Source organism: Homo sapiens, chromosome 6 (genome assembly GCF_000001405.40).
Source record: "Homo sapiens chromosome 6, GRCh38.p14 Primary Assembly".
NCBI lineage: Eukaryota > Metazoa > Chordata > Mammalia > Primates > Hominidae > Homo > Homo sapiens.
This window is the reverse complement of record NC_000006.12, coordinates 41,767,041-41,780,589: the sequence shown is the minus strand read 5'-3', so window position 1 is coordinate 41,780,589 and position 13,549 is coordinate 41,767,041. Positions and strand designations below refer to the sequence as shown.

The window sequence follows — 13,549 nt, the reverse complement described above, 5'->3', positions numbered from 1 at the left end:
AACAAAACCACATTTATGGGATCTCAGGGTGGAAATGTGCGGGCTCCATGGCCTCTGCCATGCAGGTGCAAGGGCTCTCTGGCTCGGACTGCGCCCGGCAGGCATCCAGCAGACGCCGGGAGCCGCGTTTACGCTGGGTTTTCAACCATTCGCTGAATGGAAACGCCTCGCCGGGCCCGCAGCCCTGTCTCTCCGCAGTTCCCAGGTCTCCCCAAACTCTCCCTGTGGTCTCCCAGCCCCGCTCCTCCGCGTGTTTCCCTTCAGTTCTCTCCCCCTTGTCCCCAGTGGTCCCCCTGGCCCCTTCCCCTCCCCTCAACCCTCTTCCAGGTTCCATCGTCTTGCCCTTCTCCTTTCAGGTCCCTTCAGACCCTCTCCCCTTCCCTTCGTTTCTCGCCCAACCCTCCGTCCCCTTTCCGCTCCCCGGACCACCCCCAACTTTGGTGTCCTCAGCCCCGCCTCCGCGCCCCGCCTCCGCCGCAGGCTCCGCCCTGTCCCCTCCGGGCTTGCTCAGCCCCTGGCCAGGAGCGCCCTCTGGCGTCTGCGCATGCTCACTGCTCCCGACTGCAAAGTCCTCCAAAGGGACCTTCTAGGCTGCGTGCCGGTCGCCCCCGCTCGGGTCCGCCAGCCCGCAGCGTCTCGTTGGTGCTGCCGGTGACCTCCGACCCCGCGGCCGCGGGGCGGGGCGGGGCGGGGAGGCCTTAGCTCCGGGCGGGCGGCGGCTGCTGCAGCGGGACCCGGGAGCGGGGCCCGGCGCCGCCCGGGCCGCGGGGCGATGTGAGTCGGGGCGCGGCGGGGCGGGGACGAGGCGGCTTCACCGAGGCCGCGCCGCGCCGCGCCGCGCCGCGCCGCAGTCTCCACTCCCTCCCTAGGAAGCCCCGGGCGGGCGGGCAGGCGGCGGAGCACCGGGGCTGGGGGCGGGGATCCGGGGACAGCGCGCACCCAGACCTCCTCATTCCTTACGGGCATGTAGAAATTCCCCTTGACAGTCCTGTAGCCTGTCCTGCAGCCTCTGGCTCCCCCAACCCACCTCTACCCTCTCCGCCCTGGACACATCATCGCATCTCCTGGAGCCCTCAGAACCCCCTCATTCACTCAACAAATCTCCTGCTATGCCCACGGACCCACCATTTCTCTTGGATGCCCCCAAATGCTTCCACTGCCCGGAAATTCCTAGGATCCCTCATATCCCCATTCTCCTTGCACTATCCAAAATGCCCACATCCAAAATTCTTGCTCATGTTTCCCCAAACGTCCTCATACGTTTTCAGCCCCCACACCCCCCTCTCACTCCTGCCCCTGATCCATACCTATCCCAGACCAGAGGCCTCTCCCCATTTCCACTCAATGCAGTCCCTCCTCAGTGGGCTATCTGATACATCCTGATATCTTAAGGAGAAGAGATGGTGATAGGGAAATTCAGCCCCTCCCCCATCTTGCACCCTAGAGTTCTTCGTTTCAGTGCCCGCGCCGTGCCCCCGTCGGTGGCTCAAGCCCCAGTATTTTCCCAGCAACCTATCTTTAGTCTGTGCACACCTCCCTGAGCCTGCTTCTTCCTTCCAGAAAATAAGCCAGACCAAGGGGATGGGGTCCTTTTACCTGGAAGTTGTCCAAGGATGCAGGGTGCAAGGGGCCCTGGGAAGTGTTTCTCCAGAGCAGGAATGTGGGATGTCCAGGGTCTGCAGAGTCCTGGCTTGTTGACTTGTCTACCTTGGGCTCAGATATCCTGAAATTTTGGCTTACTGTTAACATTTATGTTAAAATTAGGCCTTTCAGAGCTTGGGGAGCAGAAAATCTATCAAGCTTCCAAATGCGAAATTGAAGCAGCCTGTCTTGGAAGATGAACATGTCAATTTTAGTGAAGTTTGTCTTACGTTTTTACCTCTGCAAGTTATTTAAGCTAGAAGCTCCCCAGTTTATAGATGGTTCCCCCAAAAACTAAGGCCTTAGGTGGGAGTTGGGGGGGGCGTTGACTTAAGTCTCCCAGATACTTAGTAGCAACAAAACTGACCGATATATTGGTTTCCTGAGTCTTAAACCAGTGCTGTCTCTACTATATCACAGTGTCCTTTTGAGAAAGCTCTTTGTAGAGTTAAAGTTCTCTGCAAAGGTAAGGTGATGGTTTTGGTGTTTGTTGTAACAGGACTCAGAGGGAGATCTAAAGTGACTTAAAAGGTCTTTGGTCGTCTTAGACTTCAAACTTATTGATGTTCTTGGTGTCTGTCCCTCTCAGGGCCCGTGGGGCTTGGGATTTGTGCTCCCTTTGCCCTTGATTTTACTTTCTTCATTGGTGTTTTTGTCCCATTAGGGCTGGAACAGATACCCAGGTGGGATGGACTGTTAGGTCAGTTTTCATTAACAGTTGGGGGTGAAGATAGAAGGTTTTGTTAATCAGTGTCTCTGTTTCCTATGCTAGGTGAGCCCCAGGTGTATCCCAGAGGGATCCGGGTGACTTCTCTGCAGACTGTTTGCCATGACAGCCCACCAAGGACGGGGGGAATAAAGTGGGAACCCTTCCCCATGCCCCTCCCACGGTCAGCTCCCCGATGGCCTGGGTGAGGTAAGAGCTGTGTATAGGGGTCAGTTTTATGGCGTTTCCCAAGTTGGGAGGAACAGAGGGTACAGGTCACCTGGTTGTTCAAAGCTTTACCATTCAGCAGGAGTTCTAGAAGGATAGCCAATCCTACAGACTTATTTCTTGTGACAAGTTGCAACCCCTTAAAACTTCTGCTTGGTATTGGTCCATGCATTTCTTGTTCCCTTAGGTCATTCAAGCTTGGGTGGTGTCCTCTTCATTCTAGGCACAGTCCTGACTATTGTGACATATAATCCAAGTACTGGAATCCTGGAGGGGAAGAGCCAAATAGTAAGGCCTCTGGTCTCCCCTTCAGAAAAAGGGAAGGAAACCCAGCATTTTTTTTAAATGAAGAAATATCCACTTGAGGTTATTAAAACTGCACTGTTTTAAATGTTCAGTCTTCTGAATATATCTTTATGATCACAATGTAACAACTCATTTGAAGAGGACATCAGAAAGATAAATTTGCACTGGATGTTGGGATGGTAGTAAGGGAGAAGAGAGAACTTGGATGAAGTGGAATGGATGAGGTAAAAAGGGAGGAAAAAAGAGACAGGCACAGGCCAAAGTGTCTGAGACCCCCAAGTGACAATTTCTTTGCTGAATCCAAATAAGGGGCTCGGGCTGGCACCCACCTCCATCTGCTGCAGATCACTTCTCCTGGACCCCTACTTTTCTTCCTGCCTGTGTCCCTGCCTTCCTTGTCATTACATGGGTCAGAATCCTACATACTTCTCAAGGTCCAGATCAAATGTTACCTCTGAGAAGCTCTCTCCAGCCCCCCATCGGCATTCATCCTTAACACATTGTAACTTGAATTAACGTTTATCCAATGTGTGTCTGGCCCTGGATTGAGAATGTGAAGTCTTTGAGGGGGGGTCTGTATCACACAGTCTCTTGGACAGAGTAGGTGATCACAATGACGTGCTTCTGCCCAAGTTCCCCAGAGCAGGGTTTTTTGAAGCTGAAGTTGGTGACCTGCATATCCTGTATGTTTTTCCTAGGGCAGGCTGGCTGCTCTGACACCATGGGGAGCTGCTGCAGCTGCCTGAACAGAGACAGCGTTCCAGACAACCACCCCACCAAGTTCAAGGTACCCAGAGCCCTCTCCTCTCCTGTGTTCCCAACATGGCCTCTTGGGCTCAGACACAATTTAATGGAGTTGCCTCAGCTTCTCTAACAGCAAATCAAATGCCAGGCTGAGGTTGTGGGCTTATGGAGACTTCTTGAGCTCACACCCTCTCAAGTAGCCTGAGGAAAAGAGGCCCAGACCACTGCTGTTTTCATGGCTCTTGATACTACCAAGAATGAAGAAATGCCATAATGGTGCTTTTGGAACTGTTGTCAGTGTATTTTTATAACTTTATATATCCCCCCCCCTTTTTTTTTTAGAGAAAACAAAATTCTGTATTTGTGAGTTAATATACGTAAAGTATTTAAAATAGTGCTTAGTGGCCAGGCACGGTGGCTCACACCTGTAATACCAGCACTTTTGGAGGCCAAGGCAGGCGGATCACCTGAGGTCAGGAGCTCGAGACCAGCCTGGCCAACATGGCGAAACCCCGTCTCTACTAAAAATACAAAAATTAGCCAGGTATGGTGGCACACGCCTGTAATCCCAGCTACTTGGGAGGCTGAGGCAGGAGAATCACTTGAACCCGGGAGGTGGAGGTTGCAGTGGGCTGAGATTGCACCGCTGCACTTCAGCCTGGGTGACAGAGCGAGATGCCATCTCAAAAAATAAATAAATAAATAAATTAAATAGTGCTTAGCACACAGTAAGCACAACATCAGTGTTTGCTGTTTGCTGTGGGAAGCTGAGGGCAGACCCAAGTCGACCTGTGCTCTCCCCTGCCCACCTCTCTGTAGAGGGAGCCTCCTCCTTCCTCATTCTGGGGCATGTTGAAGCACATGTTTCTCCTGCCCACCAGAAGAGGGAGCCCTCAGTAAGGGCACACAGTTGGGGAGGTGGTAGAGGAGATGTGCATTGGTTCTGCCTTGGGCTTGACTTTCCTAGGTCAGGGTGTCCCAGTCTCAAGATTTTGAATTTACAATTGAACCCCTTCCCCATTAACATCTGGCCCTTGGATACTAAGGCATGGGCTGTCTAGGGTCGTCTAACATTTGTTATCTAACAAACCGACCTTGGAAGTCAGCTACCTACCTCTTCCCTCACTGTCCATATGACAAAACTCAGCACTAGAGAAGTAGGATTTGCCCAGAGAACTGCCGTGGGTCCATGGCACTGCTTCATGTAGTTATGTGGCATTCAGTAGAGTCTGTGATAGTCGGATGTGACCTTTGGTTCCCCACCTCTTGTCCTGCATCAGATTGTCTCCCAGTGGCTCAGGGACCCATGCAAACACTTGTTGGACTCACTCATTGACCCTTCTGTCTTCTCCCCTCCAGGTGACAAATGTGGATGATGAGGGGGTGGAGCTGGGCTCTGGGGTGATGGAGCTGACGCAGAGTGAGCTGGTGCTGCACCTGCATCGGCGTGAGGCCGTCCGCTGGCCTTATCTCTGCTTGCGGCGCTATGGCTACGACTCCAACCTCTTCTCCTTTGAGAGTGGCCGCCGATGTCAGACAGGCCAGGGTGAGTACCAGGCCCTGCTCCACCCTGGGATAGGGGCTTATGCAGTACTCCAGGGTTCCTAATGTATAGGTTAGCCCTCAAGAGGTTAGTGTTATCCCCATCACCTGTGGGCAGTAGAGTGTGATGTATTCTCCCTGCAGTCAGAGGTCAGGGGTGGTAGGTTATTCCATAAGGTCAAGGCTAGAGCCAGCCACAGCTCTCTGAAGAAGTGGCATGGTCTGAGTTTATCTCTTAGGATCCAGACTTAAGCTGTGCAAAAGGAATCCTGCATGGGATTGTGTTCAGTGCAGTTTGGGATTATGGCTGTGCAGAGGTGGAATGAACAAGCTTCTCTGATGAGGCTGCCAACAAAATAGTGAGCCTCCGAGGTCATGTTTGCTGGAGGAGACTTCCCTCCATGCATCTTACCTTTGGAATTCATGAGGCAGAGGCAGGGGCGCTGGGTGAGCAGGCAGAGCAGGCAGAGGCATCCTTGCTCCTAGTGATGTTTGATCTACACTTGGGTTCCCAGAGGGGCTACCCCTGGCCCCAACACGGGGTTCTCTACAACTCCAGTCTTTCCCAGTCTTTTCTACTTCTCGTCATATTTTGCCAGAGTAGTTATTTTTCTTCCCTGTTTCCTCCCCATCCTATTTGTGCAAACCATAGTTGTCCCATTCCCCAGGCTAATTGTGTCTTAGTTGTGGGTATATGCACAGGCACACCCCACGTAGCCTCCCCTAGGTCCCAGGTCCCCCTGTTACAGAGGAGTCCATGCTGGCCCAGTACCCCAAGGGCATCTTTGAGTCCCCTGATTGACAGACACTCAGCCCAGTCCTGCTGTTCCTGGGACCTTGAGTTGCAGTGTTGCAATTTGAAGGGCTGTGAGGCTGGCTGCATTGAGGAGCCTTGTGATTGCCTTGCCATGTTTGCCTTTAGCTAGTCTGCCCATGATTTCTTCCTTCCCGTGCCAGAGTTTAATCTATGAGGTTAGGGACCTATATACAGTAGGCATTTGCTTTCTGGCCACACACTGGGCTAATAAGTGAAGAAGCAGGGAACAGAGTAGACCCTCTTGTCATCAGCGATCTGAGGGCTGGTGCTCTGGATGGAGTTTTTTTTCCTAGGAAGCAGGGGGTGTTAGGCAGAGGAAGATGGGGGAAGCATGTGAGGTAGAGTGTTCGCTCACCTGGCTGGGCTCAGTGGCTCACACCTGTAATCCCAGAACTTTGGGAGGCTGAGGTGGGCGGATCACGAGGTCAGGAGATCGAGACCATCCTGGCTAACACGGTGAAACCCTGTCTCTACTAAAAATACAAAAAACTAGCTGGGCATGGTAGCGGGCACCTGTAGTCCCAGCTACTTGGGAGGCTGAGGCAGGAGAATGGCGTGAACCCGGGAGGCGGAGCTTGCAGTGAGCTGAGATCGCACCACTGCACTCCAGCCTGGGCAACAGGGTGAGACTCCGTCTCCGAAAAAATAAAAGAAGAATGTTCACTCATCTAATACTATCCTTTCCACCTTGGCTTTTGGTTTTGTTTTTTTTCTTTTCTTTTTTCTTTTTTTTTGAGACAGAGTCTCGCTCTGTCACCCAGGCTGAAGTGCAGTGGCACAATCTCGGCTCACTGCACCCTCCACCTCCGAGGTTCAAGCAATTCTCCTGCCTCAGCCTCCTGAGTAGTTGGGATTACAGGTGCTCACCACCACGCCTGGCTAATTTTTTGTATTTTTAGTAGAGACAGGGTTTCACCATGTTGGCCAGGCTGGTCTTGAACTCCTGACTTCAGGTGATCCACCCTCCTCGGCCTCCCAAAGTGCTGGGATTACAGGCGTGAGCCATCATGCCCGGCCTCCACTTTGGTTTTGATTCTCTTCTTGTGACCCCTGAACACACACATCCTTATGAAAATGATTTCGCTTCAGAGCAATATAGCTGGAGTGTTCAATGTGGTGTGGGCGTGCTGGGGCAGGGTACCTTGGACCCAGCCTTTCTAGTAGCTCTTGGATTCTAGAGCAGACCTAGAAAGAATGCTCAGGGCCAGGCGTGGTGGCTCACGCCTGTAATCCCAGCACTTTGGGAGGCCGCAGCAGGCCGATTACCTGAGGTCAGGAGTTTGAGACCAGCCTGACCAACATGGTGAAACCCCGTCTCAACTAAAAATACAAAAAATTAGCCAGGTGTAATGGCGGGCGCCTGTAATCCCAGCTACTTGGGAGGCTGAGGCAGGAGAATTGCTTGAACCTGGGAGGCAGAGGTTGCAGTGAGCTGAGATCGCACCATTGCACTCCAGCCTGGGCAACAAGAGCAAAACTCCATCTCAAAAAAGAAAAGAAAAAGAATGCTCAAGATGAGGAGAGGCTCTCCTGCCCCTACAGGCCTGGGACTGGAGTTGAGGGACATTTCCTGCACATTGTGCATCTGTTGAGCTCCTCTGGTCCTTCCCTATTGCCTAGGGTCATTTCTTCCTCTCCTTCTCCAGGAATATTTGCATTTAAGTGTTCCCGGGCTGAGGAAATCTTCAACCTCCTTCAGGATCTGATGCAGTGCAACAGCATCAATGTGATGGAAGAGCCTGTCATCATCACCCGCAATAGCCACCCCGCTGAGCTTGACCTCCCTCGAGCCCCCCAGCCACCCAATGGTGAGGAGACCCCAGTGTACACACACACACACACACACACACACACACACACGCCCAGGAAGCACAAATCTGAGGGACTAGTTAAGCTGGCTGGTTGGGAGAAGGCTGGGTGAGCCAACCTTCCAGGACAGTTGTCCATGATCAGAACCATTCTTGAGGATCGGTAAGTCCTGGGCTGGGCTAGGTGACTCAAACTGAGGTTGTTGAGTTCTGGGCCTTGTATTGACTGATGGTTGGGGAGCAGACAGGAAGACTTTGGGTTTCCGTAGAATTGGCAGTCTGGAGTTTTTTTGCTTTCTTCCTCTGTCTATTGGGTCATCCCCATATACCTTCCTTGCTGCTGGTGCAGGCATCTCTGGCCATGACCGTATTCTGGAGAGGGTCCTACAATTTCTGCTTATTCAGTCATTGAATTCAGATCAGGTACCTGTTTGGTATTCAGCGCTCCTTGGACTGGCCCATGGGGGACAGGAGAAATAGAAGCGCAGTCCCTTTTTTTGAGGAGCTTCCCTGGACCTTACTGGCAGACCTAGAATGAAGCAAAGGGACGGTCCAGTGACAGCAAGATGTGCTTTATGCGTTTCGGGTGAGGCTATAATGGAGACAGTGGTGAGGTGCTTCAAGCTGAGCTTGAGGGAAAGGGCAGGGTTTGAAGAGCAGAGGAAAGATGAAGGATAATGGGGGGCTGGTGGCTCAGTGGGGTTTAACCACTGTGACGCCCTGAGAACATCTGTCCTCCATTAGAGGAGTCCCAGGATGCCACACACACAGCTGCAAGTGGTTGTCAGGTGGCTTAAGTTCCCCTCTCCTGGGCTTGTCTCCCGTGTGCTCAGCTCTAGGCTACACTGTCTCCAGCTTTTCCAATGGCTGCCCTGGAGAGGGCCCACGATTCTCAGCTCCCCGGCGGCTCTCGACAAGCAGCCTGCGGCACCCCTCGCTTGGGGAAGAGTCCACCCATGCCCTCATTGCTCCTGATGAGCAGGTGAGCACGCAGCCGGCCAGCCCCTGCCCTGTTGGTCTGGGTGGGGACGAGGGATAGGAAATAAGGCCACCTCCTCCCAGTAAGGATCACGGGAAGGGGAAGAACATTGTAACGGTCCCTTCCTGTCCCCAAAAGGGAGCAGCTTCCTCAGAAGGGTTGGAGGACAAGGAAGAAGAAACTCCAGGTCTTTTTCTGTGTGCTTCTTTTCTCTCATCCTGTCCCTTCTGTTCTCTTTTCTCCCTGCCCTGGGACACTCCTGCCTCACTTGGACTCTTTCCCCAGTCCCACACCTATGTCAACACACCGGCCAGTGAAGATGACCACCGCAGGGGCCGCCACTGCCTGCAGCCCCTGCCTGAGGGTCAGGCACCCTTCCTCCCGCAGGCCCGGGGACCTGACCAACGGGACCCACAGGTGTTCTTGCAGCCAGGCCAGGTGAAGTTTGTGTTGGGCCCGACCCCTGCTCGGCGGCACATGGTGAAGTGCCAGGGCCTCTGTCCCAGCCTGCATGACCCCCCACACCACAATAATAACAATGAGGCCCCTTCTGAGTGTCCAGCCCAGCCCAAGTGCACCTACGAGAACGTCACCGGGGGGCTGTGGCGAGGGGCTGGCTGGAGACTGAGCCCAGAGGAGCCGGGCTGGAATGGCCTTGCCCACCGCCGGGCCGCCCTGCTGCACTATGAGAACCTGCCCCCACTGCCCCCTGTGTGGGAAAGCCAAGCCCAGCAGCTGGGAGGGGAGGCTGGGGATGATGGGGACTCGAGGGATGGGCTCACACCCTCTTCCAATGGCTTCCCTGATGGTGAGGAGGACGAGACCCCACTGCAGAAGCCCACCAGCACCCGGGCCGCCATCCGCAGCCACGGCAGCTTTCCTGTGCCACTGACCCGCCGCCGCGGCTCCCCAAGGGTCTTCAACTTTGATTTCCGCCGGCCGGGGCCCGAGCCCCCAAGGCAGCTTAACTACATCCAGGTGGAGCTAAAGGGCTGGGGTGGAGACCGCCCTAAGGGGCCCCAGAACCCCTCGAGCCCCCAAGCCCCCATGCCCACCACCCACCCTGCCCGAAGCTCAGACTCCTACGCCGTGATTGACCTCAAAAAGACCGTGGCCATGTCCAACCTGCAGAGAGCTCTGCCCCGAGACGATGGCACCGCCAGGAAAACCCGGCACAACAGCACCGACCTGCCTCTGTAGGGACTTCCCGGTCCTCACCACCCTCTGCCCCACCATGATCCAGCCTCTGCCTCACACTCCTGTCCTCTGAACCCACCCTCCCCAGGGTTCAGGGTTGCTTTGCAGAAGGCATGGAGGTGGGACCAGATGCTTCCCTGTGCTGGCTGGAGTCCCCAGAGATATCAGCCACCGAGTCTCCTGGTCTGTCTCCAGGCTGGGGAGAGAAGGGTGACCAGGCGAGGAGGGAGCCGAGACGTCAACTGTGAAGGGTTCCTGTGATTGCGTTTAGCGCCCTCCCGTTCTGTCCATTTGTCTTGTCTGCCGACTGTCCGTGTGTGTTTTTTTTGGTTGGAATTTTGAAACATTTTGTACCTGTTGATTTTATTTATCAGTTTATTTTTCTATTTATTGTTTTAAATGTAATTTAACATATTTATTATTAATATAATTATTTTTAAATTCTGGCCCAGTGGATATCATCTTCTTAGGGAATCTTTTCTGGTGTGGTCCTGGGTTGGACACAGGGCAGGCCTAATCGAGGTAAGGGCTTCACTCTGGGGAATTTGGGTCAGTTATGGTTTTTGTGACAAGTCCATGATTTTTTTTTTTTTTGAGACAGAGTTTCGCTCTTGTGGCCCAGGCTGGAGTGCAGTGGCGTGATTTCAGCTCACTGCAATCTCCACCTCCCGGGCTCAAGCAGTTCTCCCGCCTCAGCCTCCCAAGTAGCTAGAGTTACAGGTGCCTGCCACCGTGCCCAGCTAATTTTTGTATTTTTAGTAGAGATGGGGCTTCTCCATGTTGGCCAGCCTGGTCTCAAACTCCTGACCTCAGGTGATCCACCCACCTCAGCCTCCCAAAGTGCTGGGATTACAGGCGTGAGCCACCGCGCCCGGCCAGTCATTTATTTTTCTCCTCCAAGAAGCCCTGGTCATGAACCTACAGTTGCCAGGGATGGATGCTCTGTTGAAGGAAAGGGGTGGGATGGCTGGAGTCCTAGAAGCCAAAAGGGGAGCCTGTGAGGACTGCCCTAATGAGGTAGAGCCCAGCCCTCTGAGGCTGGTAACAGGTGAGGAGTGCAGCGGAGCGGGCACAGCTACAGAAGAGACACCTTCGCCTTCTTGGGGAGCCCTCACTGACGCCCCTGCCAATAGGCAGGCCCCAAAGGGCACTGCTGTCCTTTACCACCTTGGCCCAGAGATGGATCCTGGATCCTCCTTAGCTGCCCCCAGCATGGCTGAGTCAAGACCAAACCTTTAAACAGGACTTTACTAAAATCCTAGGATTATAGCAAAATGAAAAAATACAGTGTAATGTGTAACTAGATAATCTGGCTTGCTAAGTGTCTTTCCTAGAGAACGTCCCTTCAGGAATGGACTGTTAGGATGCCTCTACCCTGCCACAAGGCTGGGCGCTAACAGAGCCGCCACATTGGAGCACCTGCCTGGAAGCACAGGGTCCAGCGGGGCTGTGCTGCACACACAACCTAGTGCTGATCTGTTCCAGGAGCTCCTTTCTCTGTCATGAGGCTGCCTCTCTCCTCCTCCTCCTCCTCTTGCTGGCTTCCTTTCCTCCAAGACTCCATTTCTGTCTGAAACCCCAGTGCGGTTCATCTAAAGGAAATGCTGCTTTTGTGATAAGCCACTCAGGGCCCAGGTGAAGAATGAGAGTTGTGTTTGTCCAACTTGGGGAAAAGCCTTGTCACTGTTTGTGCTCCAGCTCCCTGTCCTGTGGAGCAAGCAGACCTGTCCTCTTCGTCACCAAGGAAACAAGCCCAGGCGAGACACCCCACCCAGTTCCCTCCCCCTCCTACTGTCCAGGACACTGCTGCCTGGGCCTCATTTCCTGGATCCTACCTCCTCTGAGTGGGGGTTGGACTGGAAGCTTTCAGACCCCCCGACCTCAGGTGTCACTTTCTGTCAGTGAAATGGGCAGTGACGACTGGCCACAACAGGATGTGAAAAGGCCCTTCGAGTGGGGCCCAGCAGAGCTCAAGAGGGCAGCTGCCACAACCCCAGAGCTGGCACCAAACCCTTCTCCCCCTTATATCCTTTTGATCTCTGGACCAGAGGGGTCACCTGCTGCAGGCTGGATTCATTGCAGTTTTCCACACTGTAGTAGGGAAATGCTGTCTTCTCTCTGCAGCCTTACCAAGCAGCTCAATTCTGTTTGGATGTCCACATACACTACCCCTGCTACTACTCATGACCTCCACAGTTGGGGTGGTGGGTGTCTCCAAACAGGAGGGTGGATATGTGGGGGCAGGTATGGCTATGCCGGGACCAGGCTTAGGGGTCCTGGCCGTGTTTGTGACTCATGGGTCAGTGCAGGCTCCGCCTTATCGATGGACAGATACTATGATGGGGTAGCCAGAGGCTGGCTTAAGAGACCTGTCCTGACTGGGTCATTATCTCTGCTACCTTAAGCATTTGGTTACCCAATTGGGCTCGGCTTTTGTACCTGGAAGACATGGAGCTGGTATGAGAAGTAGCCAATGAAACGATGAACATGGCCCCACTTTGGAAGTAGACAAGGCTCCTGCAAGCTGTGTTAACAACTCAGCTGTTCCCTTAGAAGTCACAACTCTTAAGTCCCCCTAGGCTGTCGCTTTGCTGAACAAATCAAGAAGGGGCAGTTATTCTCATTCTCTGGGTCGCCAGATCCTGGCCTGACCCCTGGGGTCTCCCTAGAGCAAGTCATAATTGCTTCGATGATCATTTTGTGGGGCTTGGGGGTGTCGAAGGAGTCGACTTCCAGCTCAGTGTGGCCCCCAACCTTTCCTGTCCCCTCCCCTGGTCACTGCCTCTGGCCCATGAGGTCTACTACAGGAATTTTCCTCTCGAGGGAAGGACAGGGTGTGAGTGGACAGCTTTCCTGGCGGGAAGGGGTGGGTGGGAGCGATGCCCAGGAGGGTAACTGCCGCCCCTGTGTTTGAGCCCGCCCTGCCGTCAGGCTGTGGTGCACAGATGGAATCAGTTTCCATCACCATCATCATCCAAAGATCATCACCAGCATCAGTGCATGTTTGCCGAGTGCTGGGTTCTCTTCTTTAGAAACAGGCCCTACCCACCCCTGGGCTGCCCTCAGGAAAGGACAGGATCCAGCATCCTGTCTGGGAGTGACATTTCAGGTCAGACCAGGAGGGGCCCTTCCCAAGGTCCCCCCGGGTAATAATAGCACTTTACAAGGGTATAAACACAGTCAGCTTTCCACAGGGCCTTGTCGAATATTTATCAGGCCTCACTGGCGGGATGTTATCATCACTGTACAGAGGAGGAAACAGGCCAAGAGGTGACGTAACTTGCCTCAGGCCATGAAGTTAATTGGTGGCTTGGGCTAGGGCTGGATGCCTGTCGTGTGTCTCCTCCACCCCCTGCTCCCTGCCTGGCCTGAAGGAGCCTCATTCTCTCAGGTGGGCTGCAGGGAGACTGTGTTGGGTGCTTCTCCCTGGATTGAGTCCCAGCAGGGGATCACATTCCAGTGCTCCCACTCAGGAATCCTGAAATCCAAGCCAAGGCCTTTCCCAGTTAACTATAGGGTGAACCTGCTCTCCCCTGGGGCCTGCCCTATGCCCACCTACCAACTCTGCCCCTCTACTCTCA

At 53.9% G+C, this 13,549-nt stretch overlaps 1 protein-coding gene across 3 annotated transcripts, besides 4 other annotated features; it reads left to right on the top strand.

Moving 5' to 3' along the window:
* Nucleotides 25-94: a silencer, noted in NCBI's record as "silent region_17193". NCBI's record gives its function as "represses an Ori minimal core promoter by ATAC-STARR-seq in GM12878 lymphoblastoid cells {active_cell/tissue: GM12878}" and the evidence as "EXISTENCE:reporter gene assay evidence [ECO:0000049][PMID:35858748]".
* Nucleotides 375-784: a silencer, noted in NCBI's record as "silent region_17192". NCBI's record gives its function as "represses an Ori minimal core promoter by ATAC-STARR-seq in GM12878 lymphoblastoid cells {active_cell/tissue: GM12878}" and the evidence as "EXISTENCE:reporter gene assay evidence [ECO:0000049][PMID:35858748]".
* On the top strand, nt 690-10,414 carry FRS3 (fibroblast growth factor receptor substrate 3). Of its 3 annotated transcripts, XM_047418097.1 has the most exons (8): nt 690-774; nt 1,765-1,855; nt 2,414-2,557; nt 3,580-3,668; nt 4,985-5,171; nt 7,631-7,792; nt 8,626-8,774; nt 9,057-10,414. In XM_047418097.1, exons 4-8 carry the CDS (start codon nt 3,603-3,605, stop codon nt 9,969-9,971), a joined length of 1,479 nt encoding a protein of 492 aa, XP_047274053.1. In that variant the 5' UTR covers nt 690-774; nt 1,765-1,855; nt 2,414-2,557; nt 3,580-3,602; the 3' UTR covers nt 9,972-10,414. The 3 variants fall into 3 exon arrangements, with proteins under 3 accessions (XP_047274053.1, NP_006644.1, XP_011512556.1); NM_006653.5 differs by lacking the exon at nt 1,765-1,855; XM_011514254.2 differs by lacking the exon at nt 690-774 and having other exon boundaries at nt 918-1,860.
* Nucleotides 815-964: a silencer, noted in NCBI's record as "silent region_17191". NCBI's record gives its function as "represses an Ori minimal core promoter by ATAC-STARR-seq in GM12878 lymphoblastoid cells {active_cell/tissue: GM12878}" and the evidence as "EXISTENCE:reporter gene assay evidence [ECO:0000049][PMID:35858748]".
* Nucleotides 12,315-13,167: an enhancer, noted in NCBI's record as "H3K4me1 hESC enhancer chr6:41735161-41736013 (GRCh37/hg19 assembly coordinates)". NCBI's record gives its function as "activates a minimal SCP1, AML or CMV promoter by ChIP-STARR-seq in primed H9 embryonic stem cells {active_cell/tissue: H9 hESC(primed)}" and the evidence as "EXISTENCE:reporter gene assay evidence [ECO:0000049][PMID:30033119]".